Genomic DNA, 21,623 nt, shown 5'->3' on the forward strand with positions numbered 1-21,623 from the left:
TCCAGCCTGGGCGACAGAGTGAGACTCAGTCTCAAAATAAATAAATAAATAAATAAAAATTGAAAAATAAAATAAAATGCAGTGTCCCCCAAATTATCAACACCCCCTACAGGTTGGCCTCTGGTTGTGGGGAGAGGCAGACAGAGTGGCAACAGACATGACCATTCATATTTTAATAAGTACTACGTGTTGGGTATCTATTATTATGCCGGGGAATCTCCATCCATGACATCATTTTGCCTTCCTTGAGACCCTTAAGATGGGACGCAGAGGGACACAAAGAGGCGGGGCAAGAGCTCAAGTATAATAGCAGGGGTGGAAAGTGGAGAGAGAAAAGGACAGAGATGGGATTTGAGGGAAAGGGGATAAGGAGGAAAGGAGGTCTCCAAAGTTGGGAGAAAGGAGGAAACCCTAGGATGTGTGTCGCCCCTCCAGGACCAGCCTAAAGCACAGAGGCGTCAGGAGGGTTTTGGAAAGAGAAAGGCTCCAGGTTGGTGTGTGAACCGCCTCCCCCCTGGCAGTTCCTCCCCACACCAGGCCGCCTACCTCAGTGGCAAAGAAACCTTTGGGTCGGTGTTTGCCCAGGGACGCGAGGCCACCGGGACCAGGGCTTTCGCTTGCACTGATGGTCTGTTGAGCTGCGGCCAGGATTTCGTCCAGTTTGTCTAGGGGTAGATGAATGAACAGAGGTGGGAAGACAATGAAATGAAGTTTGCTTTGACCCGGGCCGCAAAGACCAGAGCTGCCGCCCGCAGTTCATCCAGCACCTGGATCAACCAGGAAAGGGCAGCCCTGCCTGGGTCCGGGTGGACGGGCAGTCCCGCTTGGAGACACAATCTCCCAGCCCAGTGGGCAGCACCCAGGGTGGGAAGGGGTGCGGGCAGGGAACGGGGCAGCCGTCGGGAGAGGGCGGGCGGAGGGAGGGGAGGTGGGATCGCAGCCTCTCTGGGGCAGGAAGGTGAGGGGCGCCGTGGGGTTCATGGTGGGACAGGGATGCAGCGGGTGCCGGGGCTGGGGCCCGGCATCCCGAGGAGCAGGGCTGGGCCGTCTTACTGAGAGCCATCTGATACACGGTCCGCTTTTTCTCCATGCTGGGCACCGGCGCCGGCTGCTGCTCGTACTCTGTGGGCAAAGAACACGGATGACGCCCAGGGAGCCCCCGGGGGCGGGGCGGAGCGGGCTCGGCCTGTGGGCGTGGCCAGCAGGTGCGGGCCAGTGGGCGTGGCGGGCGCGAGAGGGGCAGTGAGGGGCCGGGGTCAGGGAGGGGCGAGTCCGCCGGCGGGGTCGGGAGACGGGGGCCCTCCCGCCAGTCCTGTGCCCACTCACCACTCTTCTTCTTCCAGGGGGAGACTAGCCCGGGGGAGAGGCAGTAGAGGAGCCAAGAGTTAGGACGTCAGGGGAAGGTGAGGGGCCCCCTGTCTGGAAGCCCGCCTCCCTCGGGGCCCCGGGGTGGGGGCGGTCAGCTGTCCGACCAGCCCCCTGTCAGGGGAAATGGGACCCCCAGGTCCACTCGGCCTTGTCTGGAGGGAGGGGCTCGCTTTCCTCTGTTATTGGGGGTTGGGGGGAGCTGGTGGAGGGAGAGATGTTGAATGGGGCTGGGGGGTGAGGTGGGACAAAAGGAAGGAGACAGAGAGACCCGCAGAGAGGGTACATACAGACCCTGAGAGAGACCCCAACGGAGAAACAGATACAAGAGCACAGAGGAAAGTCGTCTCTCAGACACCCCTTCCCAGAGACACACACACACAGGCCAGAGTCCGACCCATGGACTGGGGACAGGATGAGGACAAGGACCCCTGGTCACTAACAACACTAACGAACTCAAGGGATGGTCCAGCCCTCCTTCCCCTCTCCCCCCGGCCCCCTGGCCTCAGCAGCCCCGCAGGCTCACCCATCTCCTCCAGCTCTGAGGTCATAGATTTGGAACGCAGGGAGATGGTTGGGGGCGGCAGCCGCTTGGCCTGCTGGGGTGCTGAAAAGGTGATGAGGGGAGGCATCAGTATCATGGGGGAGATGCCCCCACCACCCTCTACCACCACAGGGCTCCCAGGGCTCAGAGAATAGCCATTGCCAGCGTGCGGAGCCCTCCCTGCCTCAGTTTCTCCCCACAAGGGTCACGGAGAAGCAGTGCTAGGGAAGGGAAGGCCTTGGGCAGCAGCAACCAGCCCTGGGGCTCCCGCAGGGCTGAGCCTGGTGGCAGTGGGGTGGCTGCGAGAGTGGCCGCAGGAGCACCTTTCTTGTGCACTGCCTCATCCATGTCCGGGTGCCTGGTGACCATCACCACCTTCACCATCAGCGTGTTGCCCCCTTGGCGGATCATGTTCACCACCTGTCGGTGGCCGACCTTCACCACATTCTGCCCGTTCACCTGTGGCACAGACACCCCCAGATCACACAGAGTAGACGAGGGGAGGGGTGCTTGCAGCTTCAGAGACCCCAAGGAGGATGCCTCCTGCGCTGCCCTGTCCATGGCCCTCTGGGCTATGTTCCTCTCCCTCCGACCCTTCATACCACCGCCTCCCTGGGCAAGCCCCCTTTCCCACCCTCCCTGGCCCCAGGGTTGGGGGAGAGGCTCAGCCTACCCTATTCACTTCCCCCTCCCTCCTTGTCCCCAGTATTTATTTATTTATTTACTTTTATTTTTAAAAGACAGGGTCTCTCTCTGTCACCCAGGTTGGGGTGCAGTGGCCCAATCATGGCTCACTGCACCCTCGACTTCCTGGGCTCAAGCAATTCTCCCACCTCAGCCTCCAGAATAGCTGGGACCTCAGGCACACAGCACCGGCTAATTTTTTTTTTAAGAGACAGGATCTTGCTATGTTGCCCAGGCTGGTCTCAAACTCTTGAGTTCAAGCAATCCACCTGCTTCAGCCTCCCAAAGCACTGGGATCACAGGCGTGAGCCGCTGTGCCTGGCCATCCCCCGGTATTGTGTATGTGTTGGGGACAGCTCTGTGTCACTCTTTTGAGATGCCTCAGAGGCCTTTAGATGGAATCGCTGGGGAAAGCAGAGGCTGGCTGGGGGGTGGGCAGGGGGCTGGGAATCCTGGTGCCAAAGGAGAATAAAACTGGGCAGCCAGATCCTGGTGTGAATCATGAGGGGGTCTGGGAACTTGTCACAGGGTCCCAGGGAAGAGAGGGGGCCTGGACTGACCTCGATGAGGAAGTCTCCCATTCGCAGTCCAGCTCGCCATGCCACGCCACCCTCGTCCACCGACTCCAGGTACTGCAGCGCCGGGAAGGCCGGGGTGGGGGTGAACTCCTCGATGGGGGTCTGCGCTGCAGACAGGGAGGAGCCGGCGGGGTCGGAGGGGAGGGGGTGGAGAGGCCGAGCAGGGGATGGGGCTCAGACCCAAGTCACGGAGGCCTCACCGCAGCTGAGGGACCAGCACCCCGGGGTGGGGTGGTGGGCGGGCTGGGGTCCCTTCCCCTTTCCAGCCCCCATTTTCAGCCCTGCTTCTGGGGTCACAGAGCCCTTCTCCCATCCCCTCCCCGGCTGGCACTCACCCTTGGCCCCCCGGAGCACGAACCCAAACCCCTCACTGTCCTTCTTCTGCAGCAAGACTGTCTTCTCCTTAATGATGTAATCGCTGGCAGGGAGGCAGGAGAAATGGGGGGGTGGTGGGGGGAGTGGAGAAGACATCATGAGACACAGAGGCTGTCCCCCACCCGGCAACCCAGACCCAAACCTCTGCTCCAGGGCCATTAATTGCATCTCCTAGGATCTCTGTCACCCACTCTGTGTGTGTATGCTAGCCCTGATGGGCTTCCCCCTCAGAGCCGGCATGCTCTCTCTCTCACTCCCTCTCTCCTCATTCATCCATCCATGCATCCATCCACCCATCCATTCAGCACCAGGCACGGTGGGGAGGATGGGGAGAAGAGCTTCCAGATTACCAGACAGCCAGGCTTGGGTCCCTGCTAGTCACTTCCTGCCTATGACCTTGAGCCCACAACTTTAACCTTTTGTGCCTCAGTTCCCTCATCTATAATGGGGGGCTATCACAGATCCTACCTGATGGGGTTGCAGTGGGAATCCAGTGGGGGTAATACACATTTAGTATTTCGCACAGTGCCTGGCACATAGTAGGTGCTCAATATGATCTGCTCGATGTCCTTAGGTCAGAGTGTTAAGTCAAGAGGACTCATGTACTTTGATGATACCCCTCAAAATTCCTTTATACATATGTCACCTCCCAGGAACCCCACACAGGGTAAAATTGCTAATTCTGCACTGCCCAATATGGTGGCCACTAGGTGCACGTGGCTGTTTTTATGAAAGCTAATCAAAATCAAATGGAAAAATTCAATTCCTCAGTCACAGTGGCCATATTTCCAAGTGTGCAGAAGCTGCACATGGCTGGTGGCCACCACATTGGACAGTACAGATATAGAACATTTCCATTGCTGCAAAGCTCCCCGTGGACAGCACTGTCTTCTGTATTCCCTGGTGCATCTCAAATGGAGCTACTGCATGCAGTCAGCATATTCTATTATAGTAAAATGCAAAGCACCCATGAATATGGGTGGTAGTTTCCAGTAAAGCCATCAAATGCCACCAGCACATTTAGGTAAGGCTCACGTACCCAGGAAATGTCAATGAAACTCAGATACAGTTCATGGATCTCAAGGCTCACTCAAACAGCCCCAAACTCCTGACATGACCACTGTACACCTCAGGAATATACATCCATTCCATTCCCAGAGGATCCGACACCCCAGTCTACATCAGGAATACTCAGACACCCTGGCTGCAACCCCACTGCCTTCAGAATACCCAAGAACACCCAGGAGTCACTGGAACGCGTGCTCTGCTGTGCTGAGCTTCCTTCAGCACTGTCTAAAGCCTGTCCCAGGGCACACTTGTAGCACCTCCCACCCTCACAATCCCAGTGTATTCCAATAATACCCAGATCCCAGTAACATCCATGTGGCCCTAATACACTCCAATCATAGCCAAGCATGCTCCCCAATTACCTGCCCCCACAAATTCAGCAAAACAGCCGTCCTCGAATACTCCAGTATGTTTCGGCAACCCCCACACATCCCAGTATGTTCCAATAATAACTCCCCCTCACTCGGATCTCAGTGTATTCCCATAACACGCCCTCTGAACACATACATCCCAGCAAATGCCAATAATACTTACTGTGCTCCACTGTATTTAGGTACCACCCCCACAAGCACCCCTGTATGCTCCCAGGACCCCCATGGCTCCCCTTGTAAAAATCCATACATTTGCACCATGGCGACAGGGTTCTGGATGTGCACGTGTCCTCCCTTCCTGCTGCCACCCTCCTTGTGGCACCTCAGTGCACCTAACACCACGCATGTTCACATGTACATACTCCAGCAACAGTCCTCGCTCAAAGTTCGTAACAGTCCAGTAAACTCATCCACACCATACCCGCCATGTCTTCCTCCCCTGGATAGAGAGGTGTTGGCAGAGAAGGAGGGAAGGGGCTGAAAGGGGTGAATGAGGGTAGGAAAAGGGAGAGGGGAAGGGAGGAAAGGGGCCGAGAAGGCCAGAACAGCAAGTGGACGGGGAAACTGGACACAGAAATTGGCTCAGAGGTCAGAGCTGCCTGTTTCTAACCATGCATTCTGTAATGTCCCCATTCCCACCTTCTTACTCCTCCTCCTGTATCTCTTCCAGGTCTCCAAGGCCCCCCAGCAGCCAGCAGCACCCTTCCTCACTGGAGGCAACCTCACTTTCTTTCACTCATGCCACAAACCCCTCCCTTCCTCCATCTTTCTCCCTCCCCTCTGGAATCTCTCTTGCCCCCTCATCAGCCTCATACCCCATACATAAGCCTTCCCCAAATGTCAGCCAATATAGTCAATAAAACTCCCATATCAATATGCCAAGAAGGAGCACTTGCCATTGGCTGGGCAGTATCTGAAGCCCTTCACAGATAGATCATTAAATTGTCTTCTCATAACCAGCCTCTGGGGCAGGGATAAGTACCAGTTCTACTTTATCTATGTATTTATTCATATTTTTTGAGACAGAATCTCACTCTCTTGCCCAGGCTGGAGTGCAGTGGCACAATTATAGCTCACTGCAGCCTCAAACTCCTGAGCTCAAAGGATCTTCCAACTTCAGCTTCCCAAGTACCTAGGACTACAGGTGCTTGCCACCATGGCCAACTAATTAAAAAAATCTTTTTTTTTGGTAGAGATGGGGGTCTCACTATCTTTCCCACGCTGGTCTTGAACTCCTAGACTTAAGCAGGCCTCCCACCTCAGCCTCCCAAAGTGTTGGGATTACAGGCATGAGTTGCCACACCCAGCCCTAGTTTCACTTTATAGGTGAGGAAACAGAGGCACAGAAAGGTTAAGTAACTTGTCCAAGGTCACACAGTGAGTATCATTCTTCAACAATACCCAAGAGAATACTCGGGTAACTGCAGTGGTAATACCCTCCACTCCACAGCACCGAAATACCTTGAGCACATATATCCATCTGCTCGGAATCCACCCTGAGCTCGGCCCTGCAGCACCTGGAGTTTATCCCAGGGTGTGGCAGTAACACCATGACAATGAGGAACACTTATCGAATTATTACTGAATGCCAGCCATGATTCCAAGCACTTTGCATTTATATATTTCCATTTATGTATTCAGTTAGTCCTCACAACAACCCAGGGAAGGGTTGACTGTTATTCTTCCCATTTTATAAATGGGGAAACCGAGGCACAGAGAAATAACTTGCTCAAGATGACACCAGCTAGAAAAATGTCAAAGCCAAGATTTGAATTCACCAGATATATATATATATATACACACACACACCAGTGGTGATCTGAGGCAGGGAGGGGGGTCCAACCACATCCAGACCCACCCTGTTCCTGCTTCTGCTTCTCAACCACCCCCTATCCTACACATGCTCCATTCCCCTCTCTGCTCCATGACTCCCTCACCCAATCCCCAGCTAGGACATACGTGGTGTTGCCCTCATCCCACCACAGTCTCCTTGAACTTCCCAACTGCTCTCTTGCTCCCACAGCTCCATGTACCTCTAAACTCCCTCTCCCCAACTCCTGTGTACCCCTCCTCTCTGCACCTCACTCCCTACTCCTCCATGCCATGTTGAGGTTCCACATCGCCCTAACCCACCCCCCTCATCCCTGACTCCCACAAGCCCTCCTCACACCCTATGGAGCCATCCCCCCATTTCCCGTGTCCCCTGACACACCCTACCCCCCTTTCCCCCTAAACATCCTCCTCAGACCTCTGTGACCTCCTCACCCTTGTCCTGCGACCTCTCCCTCATCCTTTGGCCTCACCCTTCCCACACCCTCCTGCACCTCCGTAAGTAATCTCACTGGCTCCCCTAAAGTACCTCTGGTCCCTTTCATACTTCCTGGGTACCCTCTTTTGCATCCGTGGAAACCTCCACCTATTTCTGCCCCCTCGACTCACTTCACCACATGCCCTCCCGCCTGCATTTACTGGCAGCTGCGTTTCATTTACATTCCCTGTGTCCTCTTGGTATTCTCCCCCTACTGCCCAAATCCCCACCCCCAAATACCCCCCCACATTCCCTGAATTCCCTCCCCACCCCATTTCTCTGCTCCGAACCCTCGGTGCTCCAGCCGCCACCCCTCCCCCACTTCAGTGTCCCCACTCTCCCCTGTTCCATTCTCAACCCTGCACCTCCTACCCAGACCCCTCTAGTCCCTCCCCCTTGCCCCCCATCTTGGCTGCCCCTGCAGCACCCCATTCAGGCTCCCTCTGGCTGACTACCTGCCCTGCAGGAGCCCACACAATGCTTTTCCCCAGGCCATCCCTAAGCGACCCTGAGCGGCCTCCAGAGCTCAGCAGCCAGCTCTTGTTCACTGGATCCCACACACAGGGGCACTGCAGCGGCCTGCACTCCCCTCCCCACCCCAACGTCCCTCTCACACACCCAGGGTCCGCCAGCCCAGAGCCTGCTGCTGTGCACGGGCGCACCCCCAACCCCGCACTCAGCCCCTTCCCACGTACCCGTGTCCATGGCCTGCCCAGAGGCCACCACAGAGGGACGCCAGCCCCCCTCCCCATGCTGAGAAGTGGCACACACAAGCGGATGCGGCTCCCCATGCAGCTCAGCCGGGGCTCAGCACACGTGCCCCACATGGGCAGAGGGCAGAGCCAGTGACTCAAGTACTCCTGACATGCACAGACCCCCGGGGGCAAGGGGGCAGGGGAGAGGAGCACATGGGGACAGAGACACAGGATGGACCCTTGAAGTAGGGGCCTGTGGGGGAGGGGTAGGCCAGGCCCAGGAGGGTGGGTGTTGGGAAGCACAGCCGCAGTCCCTGGGACAGACCCACTCCAGCACACACCACACACACACACACACACACACACACACACACACACACACACAGTCCCAGACAGCCTCGCTGTCGCTCCAAGTCATACAGAGACAGACGCTGTCACACAGGGACACACAGATGGACACAGTTGGGGGGTGGGCTGGGAGCCCACCATCTCTCCATTTCTCTCTCTCACACACACACGCACACACACGCACGCGGCTGCAGGCAGTCACACACACGCACATCGACACAGCCACACTGACACACGCACCGTCGCACAGTGACACGCAGCGGAAAAAGAGGAGGGGAGGGGAAGCCGGGGGCGGGATGCGTGTGTGATGGAGGGGGGATGACTGTGAATGGGAGAGAGGGGTATGAATGGGGGGACTTGCCAACACCGTGAAGAGGTGTGGGGATGTGGGGATCAGAGGGACAGGGGCCTGGGATGTAGGCGGATGCGGGTAAGCCACGGTGGCTCCCCACAGGGAGGGCTCCGGGGAATGGGGGCGCTAAGGGCGGCAGAAAGGCGAGTGGGCTCCAAATCCTGGAGGGGGGTCGGTTTAGGGGGCCTGCTGGGAGGAAGGTCTTGGGGGAAGAGCAGAGGGGGGCCTGGAAGGGCCTGTGAGGGGGTGGAGGAAAAGATTCCCAGGGCTGACGAGTGCGTATTAGGGGGGAGGGTCGGGGAGAGGATTCCAGGGAGGAAGATGGAGAGGAGAAGGGTTGAGACCAGGGGCCCGAAAGGGATTTCGGGCTGAGAGAAGGTTAGGGAAGAGGAGCGGAGGGGAAGGGGCGGGTTGGGGGAAGGGGAAAGGCCCTGGGGCTGGGGTTTAGCGGCGGGGGAGGGTCGCCACCGCGGGCCGGGGCCTGCCGGCCGGCCCGCAAAGCAGGAGGCGGCGCGCTCCGTTACCTGTAGATGTACCAGACGCTGCGCCGCCGGGGCCCCAGGGCTGGCCAGCTGGAGGACAGCGCGGGGGGCGGCTGCGGCAGGGAGCTCCCACCGGGGCCGCCCCCGAGACCCCCGCCGCCGACCGCAGACAAAGCCATCGCCGCCGCGGCCCCAGCCCCGGCCCGGGTCCCGGTGCCGGCCGCCCCCGCCGCCGCCGCCGCCGCCGCGTCCCCGTACCCGCTCGGCCGAACCCCCGTGTCCGGGCCCCCAGGCCCCGCCTCATGCTGACCCGCGCCGGGAGGGGGGAGGGGGAGGGGGCGCGCACCCCCTCCCGCGGGAGGGAGGGCAGGGCCGGGGGCTCACATGCCGGGGGGCGCGGGGGCGCGGGGCGCGGGGTCGGGCCGCGGCGGTAGCGCGAGGACCGCGGACGGCGCCGGCTTCAGCACCGCGGACAGCTCCGGAGGCGGGCGGCGGGCGCGAGGCTTAACCCCTTGGCGTCCTGCGCCGGGCGGCGGAGGGGGCCGGGCAGGGGGGAGGGGGCCGGGAGGGGAACGCGGGGGCCCCCTTGGCGGGAGAAGGGGGAGGGGCGAGGCTTGGAGGGGGGAGGAGAAGGGGAGGCACTTCCGGTCTGGGCCCCCCCTTAATCCCCCTCCCCCCTCCAGAGCCCTCCCGCGCAGGTGCAGAGCTAGAGAGCGCGGGGAGAGGGAGGCACAACATCACACAAGATGCCTCGCAGCCGCGTGCACGGACGCGCGGACGGAGCCCCGCTTCCCCGGCAGGGACACCGCGGGTGAGAGAGGCCCCAGGCGGGGACACGCAGCCCACCACCACAGACCAACACGCAACGCACCTCGACACAGTCGGCAAGAAAGGCCAGGACATTCAGACTGGGCCCCAAGGCCATGAGCAACACCCCTCCCCCACCAGAGAAGCCCAGGCGGAGGGGCGAACACACCACCACAGCTCCCCGAGAGAGCGTGGACCCCGAGCCAGCGCGGGGAGGGGGCGGCACACGCCAGGAGGGGAGACACACGGAAGGACCGCCCAGCTCCGGCAGGGAGGCTGGGGTTGGGCCCTGGCTGCCGGGCGCACGGCACAGCACAGGCCAGGCCAGCGCAGACAGGGTCCGGGAAGAGCGGGGAGGCAGGAGGAGGGGAAGCTGAGACGCACCACACACACAGCAGCACGTGGGAGCCAGCGAGAGGCACGGAGGAGTAGGGGAGGAAGCCCATTGACAAGACAGAGTAGAAGGAGGAAGCTGAGGGTGACGGGGACCACCCGCATTCAGCTGGTAGGACAAGTGACCCCCACAGACGGAGGCCAAGGAGAGACCCAGAGAGACACTGGTAGACAAGAAGCAGAGGCCGACATAGAAGCTCGGGGTGTGGGGGGGTGTACCCCAATACTCACCCGGTGCCCAGAGCAGGAGACGCGCCAGGCAAACACGCACAACGGTCAAGCGCCTCAGACACTCGGGGCGCAGGGTGGCACCCCAGCCCCACCCTCTCTCCCCATGTTGCCATTTCTCTGTCCCCCCCATCCCCGACCCATCCCCACTGGCCAGAACACAGACACGTAGGTTTGGACACATTTAATGGAAGGATGCTACGCACAAGGGGACTCTTCCCTGGATTGGGGGGAGCAGTGGAGGAGAGTGTCATATTTTAGACACCAAATTATGACCCTCCCTCCCCCACAGCCCTGTCCTTCTGGAGGCCCAAGCCCTGGAATCCTCCCCTCCTCTGCCCTTCCCTCCCCCAACATCCCAGGTCCTGAATCTCAGATCAATCAGACAGACGCACATGCATGCACACACGTTAATGTGCGAGTACACACGCACAGTGACATGCACAGAGAGGGACGGATGTGTGCAGAGACCCACCTGTCCATGTGTGTGAGCAGACTCACTGACATGCCCTGTGGTGCTTGCCCACGGATTCAGAGAAGCACAGATGTGCAGAGCCAGCCCCACAGTCATCATAGCCACAAAGGCACCAGTATATACAGAGCAGGGCAGACCCTCCAGCCCCGGGCATAGGTACAGGTACATCCAGGCCACACATGCACACAGATGCGTGTCATGCACACCTACAGAGACACACGTTCACACACCAAGAAACCTCAGCTCTGGTCGTGCACACACGTTCACACGCCCCCCAGGCACCCCGTCCTTCCCCTCCTGACCCCATCCCCTCCCTGCCCCTCGCCTCTCACCTCCCTGGGCCAATCCCATCCATTAAGCTTCCGAAGCAAGTCAGCCAGCAGCCAGGGAGGGGAAAGGTGTCAGTGCACCCATCTCCTCACCCCAATCCCACCCAGCCCTGACTGCACCCTCCCCACACCGGTGCATGGGACACACACATTCCCACTGCACATGACTGCACAGAGATGGGGCACATGAAGGAGACAAGGGCCTCCAGCCAGCCAGACATAAGAGCGCCCCGGCCCCCCCAGGCATCCCCACCCTGCCCTGACCACCCCGTTGTCTCTGGCTACCCCAGAGCTGGGCAGTCTTAGTGGCTGCCGAAGATGGTTTGGGGTTGGGCTGTACTGTCTGAAGCTAATTCTGGCTTATCCCACCCCTGGATCAAACTTGAGAAGGAACAGATTAGAAAGGGGGCTTAGAGGTGATGGAAATATTTAAAGGTGTACATTGTGAAGGGAACTTGGGGTGAGGGGGGTTGCCCGAGGGTGTAAGGACATTTACCTTGGGGCATCAAAGCTGTCGTAGGAGCCCACGGTATAATGCCGGAAGAGTCTCTTTGCCTTGTCACTGCGGCTTTCTGCAGGGTGACAACAGACAACCTTGGACTCTTGTTTTGGAAACCACAATCCCAGCCCTAGAGCTCCTGGCCCAAGTCTTCCCATCTACCTCCCAGTACCCCACCCCCATTAGGAAGGGAAAGGAGTGGACGTGGGAATCCTAGGGTCCATTGAACACTGCTGGGGGTTCCGCATTACCTTGCTTGCTCTCCTGAGAGCGATTCGCCACTTCTTCCAGGCAGTCAGAGGGGAACCAGCCAACACGACCTTTGACCTGGCCTTCCCAGAAGCCTCCTTCCCCGATGCTAAGTACTGGATGGGGAACGGGGACATAGAGACATTTCTGTGTTTCTGTGCTGCCCCTCAACTGCCAACACACTCAACTTAGAGCATTCCCACAGTTACCAGCTCCTGGCCCAAGGCCATCCTTAATAAACATCTGAGGAAGGGGCGAGGAGCTTGGGGGAGACCCATATCATATCACTCTTGCATTCTAGTTTCTGGATCCAATAAGGATGACAGGCATTGGGGAAGACGACTGTTCCATAACATGGTCTTCCTAGGTTAGAGGCAGGTCCACAATTGGTCCTTGTCTCCCCTGGTAACTGGTCACAGCTCAGTTGTGTAATTCCCCTTCACCCTCCTAGGCTCTGTGGACTTAGATCACGGATGGGGCGACAAGTTCTACCTCACCCTCCCATCACTGTCCCTGCCACCTCCCAAAGTCTCCTTGCCACTTAATCTTTAGTCCTTTGTCCCCAGACCCCTGTCTCTGTCTCTCTCGGCCTCTCCTGGCTCTAGAAGGGAAAAGAGATTAGCATCACCTCTTTCCTTCTCTCCCTCTCCCCTAATGGAAGCGGCTTCCCCCTGCCCACCCTCCCAGGCCCCACCGCTTCCCCATTTAGCAAACATCACAGACTGCCTGTTACATGCCTGCTGCTGAAAAACAGAGATATATGACAAGAACAGCTAATGCGTATCCAACTCTCACCTGGGCCAGAACCCTAAGAGGGGCCACTTTCATTATCCCCCTTTTACTGATAGGAACACTGAGGCTTGGAGAGCCAAGATCATTTGCTGAAGGTTACAAGGCTAGTAACTGACAGATCTGGATTTGAACACAGCTCAGTCTGCTTCCAGAGGGCATACTTTCAGTCACTCATGTGCGCTACCTCTCCATGCAACGGCTTCAGTGCATGACAAGGGCACCAGTGGCAAACACATGGTCTTCCATTTCTCCGGCATTTTTCATGACTCTGCCCCCATTCAGCCCTTCACATAGTTTCCTTCCTCGTTCAACCCTTGTGCCTACCCAGGTAGGTAACAACTGTTTTTCCATTTTATAGACAAAGAAGCTGAAGCGAATGTGGAGAAAACCCTTGCCTGGAGATGGCTCCAGCTATGCTAGGGGTTGAGTTGGGGCCATCAGATGTATTCCCCTCCACAAACTGCCTCCCTTGAGAGCATCTGGGGAGACCAAATGAGGGGAAGCTGAAAGTCATGGAAGAGAGCAGGAGATGGGTTGTCAAGGGGACTGGGTTCTTGGCTGGTACTGCCATGCCTGGCTTGGTGGTCTTGTAATCAATCATTTGTTCACTGTAAAAATATTTAGTTAGTGCCAGTCATGAGTCAGGTACCAGGGTAGACACTGTTGAATATAATCAATGTTGTTCCTTCCTTTGAGGAGCTTCCAGAGCAGTGGCCAATAGAGGCATAACTATACAAGTGACTGTATGATTGGAAGTTGGGGTCAGAGCTCAAGGGAAAATAAGAGGGTGTTTGGAGAGAAGCCAGATGGGAGTATATAACTTATAATGGCAAAGGGGTCCAGGGAGGTGTCCCTGAGGTGTGACACATAGGTTGAGACCTGAAGGATCCTAGGAGCTGGGGAGGCAAAGAGAGCATGGAAGAGTTCCAGGCAGAAGGACCAGCATGTTTGAAGAGTTTGGTGTACAAGAAAGCTTGGGACATTGGAGGAATGGAGGGGTTGGTATATCGGAGGACTGGAGAATTGGAGGGCTCAGGGCATTGGGGGATTGGAAGGCTTGGGGCATTGGAGGAATGGAGGGGTTGGTAGCACTGGGGAACTGGAAGGCTTGGGCACTGGGAGGATTGGATGGCTTGGGCCATTGGGGGAATGGAGGGCTTGGGGCTTTGGGAGATTGGAGGGATTGGGGCATTAGAGGATTAGAGGGTTTGGGGCATTGGAGGATTGGAGGGCTCGGGGCATTGGAGGATTGGAGGGCTCGGGGCATTGGAGGATTGGAGGGCTCGGGGCATTGGAGGATTGGAGGGCTCGGGGCATTGGAGGATTGGAGGGCTCGGGGCATTGGAGGATTGGAGGGATCGGGGCATTGGAGGGTTGGAAGGCTCGGGGCATTGGAGGATTGGAGGGCTCGGGGCATTGGAGGGTTGGAAGGCTCAGGGCATTGGAGGATTGGAGGGATCGGGGCATTGGGGGATTGGAGGGCTCGGGGCATTGGAGGGTTGGAAGGCTCGGGTTGGAAGGCTCGGGCACTGGAAGATTGGAGGGCTTGGGGCATTGGGAGATTGGAGGACTCGGGGCATTGGAGGATTAGAGGGTTTGGGGCATTGGAGAATTGGAGGGCTCGGGGCATTGGGAGAGTGGAGGACTCGGGGCATTGGAGGATTGGAGGGCTCGGGGCATTGGAGGATTGAAGGGCTCGGGGCATTGGAGGATTGGAGGGCTCGGGGCATAGGAGGATTGGAGAGCTCAGGGCATTGGGAGATTGGAGGACTTGGGGCATTGGAGAATTGGAGGGCTTGGGGCATTGGAGGACTGGAGAGTAGGATGAGGTCCCTGGAACCTTGTGGGTGAAAGGAAGAGTCGCATGAGATGAGGTTGACAAGGTGGGCAGAGAGGCAGCTTGGAGGCCAGGTGAAGACTCTGGGCTGTGATTCTGAGAGTAGCAGGAGTCAGCTCCCTCATCAGGCTGTGTGAAGCTCAGTGACATCGTGGATGTGGGTGTGCTTTGAGGCAATTAAGTCCCTCTTAATGGAAGACGAGGATATAAAAACAGAAGGCAGTGTGTTCTCTCCCTGCGTAGAAGCATTGAGCTTGTAGCTCAGCAAGATACTGCCCATGGTCCTCTGCCTGCCCGGAAGGTCCTTTACCTCTGGCCTCAGCTCACCTTTCTTTTCTCCCATCTCCCCCAACCCCACGTGCCTACATCCCAGGCAGCTGGCCCTGAAGGAGCTGCACCTGGCCCCCACAGTAGCTCCTGAATTTGATCATTCATTCACTCAACATATGTGCATTAAAGCCTCCTGTGTGCTGGGTCATTAAACTGAGCCCTAGAGACCCAGAGACCAGTGACTTATGACCTCACCTACAGGAACTCAGGCTATGGGAAGAGAGACTAGGAAACACATGCAGTTACACAGCCCACCTGATGTTCTGACCCCCGAATACCCTTCAAGGCCTCACTCAAGTTGACCTTCTATGGTAGGATCCTCCCTGCTTATTCAGGGGCCCAGGTCTCTCTCCTCTAAGTGCCTGAAGTAGGGGCCACTTAGGAAAATGATGGCTTTTTTTTTTTTTTTTTTTGAGATGGAGTTTCACTCTTGTCAGCCAGGTGTGATCTTGGCTCACTGCAACCTCCGCCTCCCGGGTTCAAGCAATTTTCCTGCCTCGGCCTCTCAAGTAGCTGGGATTACAAGTGCGTGCCACCACACCTGGCTAATTTTTTTTTTTTTTTTGTATTTTTAGTAGAGATGGGGATTCACCATGTTGGCCAGGCTGGTCTCAAACTCCTGATCTCAGGTGATCCACCCTCCTCGGCCTCCGAAAGTGCTGGGATTACAGGTGTGAGCCACCTTGTCCGGCCAAATGATGGCTCTTATATGGCACTTGTTATGTAGGAAACATTGGTCTAAGTACTTTACATGATCTGACTCCTCCAATCCTCATCAAAGTCCCATTTTACAGATGAAGAAACTGAGGCCCAGAGAAATCACTTGGCTGAGGTCACCCTGCTAGGAAGTGGTGGGGTCTGGATTTGAACCCAGGCTGCCAGGCTCTCAACCTCTATACCGCTCAGCTCCTGGGCAGCCTAGAGTCTGGCAAAGAATTGTTCCAATGCCTCGTATTAACGGCCACACCTGCGGCACGTGGTGGTCTCTAAAGCATCCTTCTATCCAAGAACACGTCAGCAGCCCTGCAAAGCCTATAAGCAGGGGAGACTGGCTCCACTTTCCAGATGAAGGTGGAAAAACCAAAGGGAGGTGAACCCTGATAACAGCACCACCATTTTGGGAACCCTCGCCACGGCCAAACATCTTATATCTGCCAGCTCGTCGGGGCCCTAGAAGTAGGTCCCTGCCTGTCTCTCAGTTGAGGACCCCTGGACAGATGCAGGAGGCAAAGTTAAGGCTGCTCGGCCTCACGCTCTGCACCAGGTGGCAGGAAGGACTGTGGGCTTGGACTGAGGACCTTGGGCAAGTGGCTTCACCTGTGTGAGGTTCTGTTCCTTCAACCATGCAATGGGGCCCATGACCTCCCTCCCCAGAAAGGGCCATCAGGAGTCTAATGAGACGATTTGGTGAGAAGTTCCAGCCATGCCCTGCACACGGCATCAGTGTCCCGCAGTGGGACACGGCTCACTTCACTGCCTCCTGACAGGGTCATCTGAGCTACACTCTATGGTCCTCCAAGCCTCAAGGGGTGTCCTGGGGCTCTCTGAGGTCTCCAGAGTGCATGAGATACTCCAGGTGCCCGAGAATGGTCTGCTCTCTGCTCCACATTTTCCCTGATCGCCCCCACAGCCCAGCCCAGCCCAGGCCCTGCTTCCACCCTGGGTACCTTTGATCTTCTCGCCCTTGCTCAGGGAGATCTCCCCCTCGGCTTGGGCCTGGTAGGACTTCACAGCCATGAAGGAGCGTCCGGGTACCGCTGAGTAGAGCTTCCTCCGCCTCCCGCGGCTGCCCAGGGAGCCCCCGGGGCCCCCTGAGCCCCCCGTGCCCCCGGCTGGCCCTTCCCGGGGTGTCCCGCTGGAGCTGCGTACACAGAGGGCATGAGAGGAGGGGAGGGTGGAGGGAGGGGACACCTCTGGGAGGACAGGGGTCCTTGGGTGGGGGAAGAGGACGGTGCATCAGGGGGGAGGGGGGGTTTCCCAGCACTGGCGTCCTCCAAGGAAGAGGGCATTTGGGGGCTCCCTCTGCCTGCCCGCAGCTGCCCCAACCAGCCCCCTCTCCTGCCTCCTGGCTTCCGGCTCTGCCCCCTCCCACGGTCCTGCGCGCACCGCCTGATTCAGCTTCCTGAGGCTGAGCTGGGACTGTGTCATCCCTCCGCTCACGAGCCTTCCGCGACTCCCAGCTTCCTCCTGGGTCAGGTCCAACTCCTCTGCCCGCCGTTGCCAGCCTCTCCCCCACTTCCTCGGGACACGCCTGGCTGGCCTTCGCCTCCTTCTCACCCTCCTCTAGCCAGGTGGGCTTCCTGACCCCGGAATGTCCCCCGCCCCTTCCTCATCCTCCCTCCAGAGTGACCTCTCTGTCCCCCTCAAGTCCCTGCCACCCCCCCCATCCTCTTCCTGTTCAGCTTCCCTCCACCTCACCCTGTCATTCTGTCTGTCCCCAGGGGCTGGGGCCCATGTTTCTTTGGGGTACCCTCTGCCTGGGGCCCCTGTCCTGGAGCAGACATCCAGCTAACATGTGGTGCACCGGGGGTGGAGTCGGGACAGTAGCTCCCAAGGCCTTGCTTTACCCCAAGGTGACACTAGGGACTTGGATGAGGGCCTACAGAGGAAGGCAGCTGGGCTGGCCTCGGGGGAAGCCGCCGATCTGGAGAGGGGATTTGACGGGGCTGGGGACTGTGGAGCCAGGGCTGCCTCCCCTACCTGGGCCGGCCTCGGGGCTGCCTCTTGGCGTCCTCAGGGTGCCTCCCTCGGGATGGAGAGCGGGCCCTGGCACCCCGGGGGCTGCTGGCACTTCGGAGGGTCCCGCTGCTGAGCTTGGTGGTGGGGGCCGAGGGCTGCGACTGGCCCTGGGACCCTGAGGTAGGGCCAGGGGCCCCAGAGGACGCGGCCCCCGGGGCGGAGAACACCATCCAGTCGGGCAGCGCCATGCTGGTGTCACTGTTGGCCCGCAGCAGCGCCGGGGGCACCGTCAGCCCTGTGCCTGGGGGCCCCCGTCGCCGGGCCGCGTACTTGGGGGACTCCTGGAAGGGCACTGAGAGGGCACAGTGGCGGCGGGGGGCAGATGTTAGGGGAGAAAAGGCAAGCAGGGGGCCATGCGGGGGCAAGAGATGGTGGGAGAGAGGCATGAGGGAGAAAGACAGAGATGAGAAAGGGAGGGGGGCCTGGAATTGCTCCCCCACCACCATCCAGACATTTTTGGTCCTCTAGGGTTTTCTCCATCCTATCCTGGCCCCCAAGTCAGGTCCCCCAACTCCCCCATCCCACCATGAAACCTCAACCGCCCCAGGTTCTCTGTGCAGTCCGAGCTCCCTGTCACTCACCCACATCCTGTTCTCGGTGGTTTCGGATCAGCTCCCCCAGCTCAAAATTCCCAGCAATCACTGCCACCTGGAGGGAGGGGGTAGAGGCAGGTCGGCCAGGGGGGCCCAGGCAGCAGAGAGAGGGCAGGGAACGTGGCGAGGTCCCTGGCCCGACCCAAACCTTCCACTCCGACAATGCCGCCCTCTGTCTTCTTCCAGCTCCCCCTCCACGGCCTGTCTCCTTGCTTTCCTCATTGTCCCCTTCCTTATCCACTGGGTGTCACTGTCACCCTTTCCTTAGCCCTGGAAACTCCAGCACATCCCCTGCAGCCCCAGACCTGGAAGGGGGTCTGTCCGTTGTTGTTCTTCACATCCTTGTCGGCACCTCGATACAGGAGGATCCTGGCACAGGTCTCCTGCGGGTAATGGCCAGTGGCACAGGACAAAGAGAGAGAGAAAAAATTAAGATCACCATGAGTGGATGCAGGTTCTGTGCTAAGAGCCTCAGGAATAAATACTCCACCCTAAACCCGCACCACTGAGGACAGCAGCCACCTGCCAGGTACGGACCAGGAGCACTTTAGTTTAAACGTGGCCGGCCCAAACGGAGATGCACCATGCATGCGAACTACACACTGGATTTCAAGGATATGCCATATGAAAACAAGAAAGAATTTAAATGTCTATAGCCAGGCGTGGTGGCTCAAGCCTGTAATCCTAAGACTGTGGGAGGCCAAGGCAGGAGTTCCAGACCAGCCTGGGTGACATAGTGAGACGCCCCCCGTCTCTACAAAAAAATAAACAGAAATTAGCCAGGCAGGTGGTGGGTGCCTGGAGTCCCGAATACTTGGGAGGCTGAGGTGGGAGGATCGCTTGAGCTCAGGAGTTGGAGGCTGCAGTGAGCTGAGATCAAGCCTGAGTGACAGAGCAGGGACCTGTCTCCCCCCCAGAAAAAAAAAATGTCAGGTGTGGTGACACACACCTGTAATCCCAGCACTTTGGAAGGCTGAGGTGAGTGGATCACTTGAGGCCAGGTATTTGAGCCCAGCCTGGCCAACATGGTGAAACCCCGTCTCTATCAGAAAATACAAAAATTAGCCAGGCGTGGTGGTGGGCGTGTGTAATCCCAGCTACTCAGGAGGCTGAGGTGGGAGAATCACTTGAACCCAGGAGGTGGAGGTTGCAGTGAGCCGAGATCCTGCCACTGCACTCCAGCCTGGGTGACAGAGTGAGACTCTGTCTCAAAAAAAAATAATAATTTCTGTATTGATTCTATGTTGAAATGATAATGTTTTAGATACACTGTTATAAGTAAAATATGTTGTTAAAATAAATGTCACCTAATTATTTTCCCCTTCTCTTTAACATGGCCACTAGGATATTTGAGGGCATTTAGGGTATGTGCTCATGCTATGTTCCACTGGATGTTGGGGCCGGATAATCCTTTGGTGATTCATTGGTTTGTGGAGGGTGTTCTGAGCCCTGTGGGATGTTGAGTAGCATCCCCGGTCTCTACCACTAGATGCCAGTAGCACTCCCCTCCCCAGTCATGACAACCAAAAATGTCTCTAGACATTGCCAAGTGTCCCCTGGGAGACAGAAGCTCCCAGGTTGAGAACCACAGGTCTAGACCTTACGGAGGCTTACCATGTTACGTGCCAGGCGCTTGGCACTTTAGAGGCAGAAGCTCATTGAATTGCCCAACAATTCCAGGACATGGAAATTGTCTCTATTTTACAGAGGAGGAAACTAAGGCTTTCAAAAGAGCCCAAGGTGGGCCAGGGGTGGTGGCTCACTCCTGTAATCCCAGCACTTTGGGAAGCCGAGGAGGGAGGATCGCTTGAGCCCAGGAGTTTGAGACCAGCCTGGGCAACATGGCGAAACCCCGTCTGTACAGAAAATTTTAAAAAATTAGCCTGGCTTGGTGGCACACGCCTGTAGTCCCAACTACTTGTGGGGCTGAGGTGAGAGGATCACTTGAGCCCAAGAGGTCGAGGCTGCAAAGATCCTTGTTCATGCCACTGCACTCCAGTCTGGGTGACAAAGTGAGACCCTGTCTCAAAAAAAAGGGGGGGTTGGGGGGGCTCAAGGTCACACAGCTGGTGATTATCAGCCTTGGATTCGAACCCAGATCTCTCTGACTCCAAAGTCTTCTATCTTAATCACACTTTCTGCCAGGCCCAGAAGGAAGGGGACACACATTGTGGAGGAAAGGGTGGGGGCAGGACTGGGCCAGTGGGGACAGGGATGCCTTCTACATTCAGATCAATTTCTCACCGGTGTCAATCACATGGCACCCATCATCACTTTTTGGGCTAAGCACAAAGTCCATGCCACGGCCTAGGAGGGTTAGGGTTAGCTGAGCTAACCTGAGCTGCCTGCCCTGCCACTCCCCACCCTGACCCTCACCAACTTCATCTTCTACCACCTGCCCTTGCTCCCAGGCTGCAGCCACACTGGCCACCTCCTTCCTCTGACAGCACACTAATGCCCCAGGACCTTTGCACGGCTGCTCCCTCTGCTTGGAATCCTTTCCCGCTAGATCTCAGCATAGCTTGCTTCCTCACTTCGTTCAGGCTTTTGCACAAATGCCGCCTCTTCAGAGAGGTCTTCTCTGGCCATCCTGTCTAAAAAAAAAACCCTTGTCCTCTTCCTTGCTTTATTTTTATTTATTTATTTATTTTTAAAATTTTTTTGAGATGGAGTTTCGCTCTTGTCACCCAGGCTGGAGTGCAGTGACACGATCTCGGCTCACTGCAACCTCTGCCTCCCAGGTTCAAGCGATTCTCCTGCCTCAGCCTCCCAAGTAGCTGAGATTACAGGCACCCACCACCATGTCTGGCTAATTTTTGTATTTTTAGTAGAGACAGGGTTTCCCCATGTTGTCCAGGCTGGTCTCGAACTCCCAACCTCAGGTGATCCGCCTGCCTTGGCTTCCCAAAGTGCTGGGATAACAGGCATGAGCCACCGTGCTCAACCCTTTGCTTTATTTTTTAGTACCACACTGATGTATGTGCCAGGCACTCTAAGCCAATGTTAACTCATTTTCTTCGTAACCCCGTCTCACTGAAATTCCATTTCCTGTTATTTGTCTCAGTAGTGTCTCTTCTCCTCTACACCATAAGTTGTACAGGGGCATGATTTTGCCTGTGGCACCCACCACCTGGATTAATGCTGGACCCACAGGGACTATTCGGTAGAAGGAGTGTCCTCTC

General features: G+C 57.4%; 1 protein-coding gene across 4 annotated transcripts in view; it reads right to left on the minus strand.

Annotated features, from left to right (window-relative positions):
- SHANK1 (SH3 and multiple ankyrin repeat domains 1) overlaps positions 1-21,623 on the minus strand; it is a 60,548-nt gene that overhangs the window by 26,436 nt on the left and 12,489 nt on the right. Inside the window, exons 9-22 of one of the 4 annotated variants that reach the window (XM_011527013.3) lie at positions 18,747-18,824; positions 18,430-18,496; positions 17,810-18,140; positions 16,777-16,970; positions 12,153-12,266; positions 11,899-11,974; positions 11,406-11,432; positions 3,507-3,589; positions 3,154-3,278; positions 2,233-2,368; positions 1,892-1,972; positions 1,327-1,350; positions 1,054-1,122; positions 547-665 (exon numbers count right to left, since the gene is read on the minus strand). In XM_011527013.3, coding sequence (XP_011525315.1) covers positions 547-665; positions 1,054-1,122; positions 1,327-1,350; positions 1,892-1,972; positions 2,233-2,368; positions 3,154-3,278; positions 3,507-3,589; positions 11,406-11,432; positions 11,899-11,974; positions 12,153-12,266; positions 16,777-16,970; positions 17,810-18,140; positions 18,430-18,496; positions 18,747-18,824 — 1,524 coding nt within the window. Of the gene's footprint in view, positions 1-546; positions 666-1,053; positions 1,123-1,326; positions 1,351-1,891; positions 1,973-2,232; positions 2,369-3,153; positions 3,279-3,506; positions 3,590-9,212; positions 9,657-11,405; positions 11,433-11,898; positions 11,975-12,152; positions 12,267-16,776; positions 16,971-17,809; positions 18,141-18,429; positions 18,497-18,746; positions 18,825-21,623 lie in introns of those variants that run through there. The other 3 variants (NM_016148.5, XM_011527014.3, XM_047438894.1) reach the window with 3 other exon arrangements.

This window comes from Homo sapiens, chromosome 19 (assembly GCF_000001405.40).
Source record: "Homo sapiens chromosome 19, GRCh38.p14 Primary Assembly".
Taxonomy (NCBI): domain Eukaryota; kingdom Metazoa; phylum Chordata; class Mammalia; order Primates; family Hominidae; genus Homo; species Homo sapiens.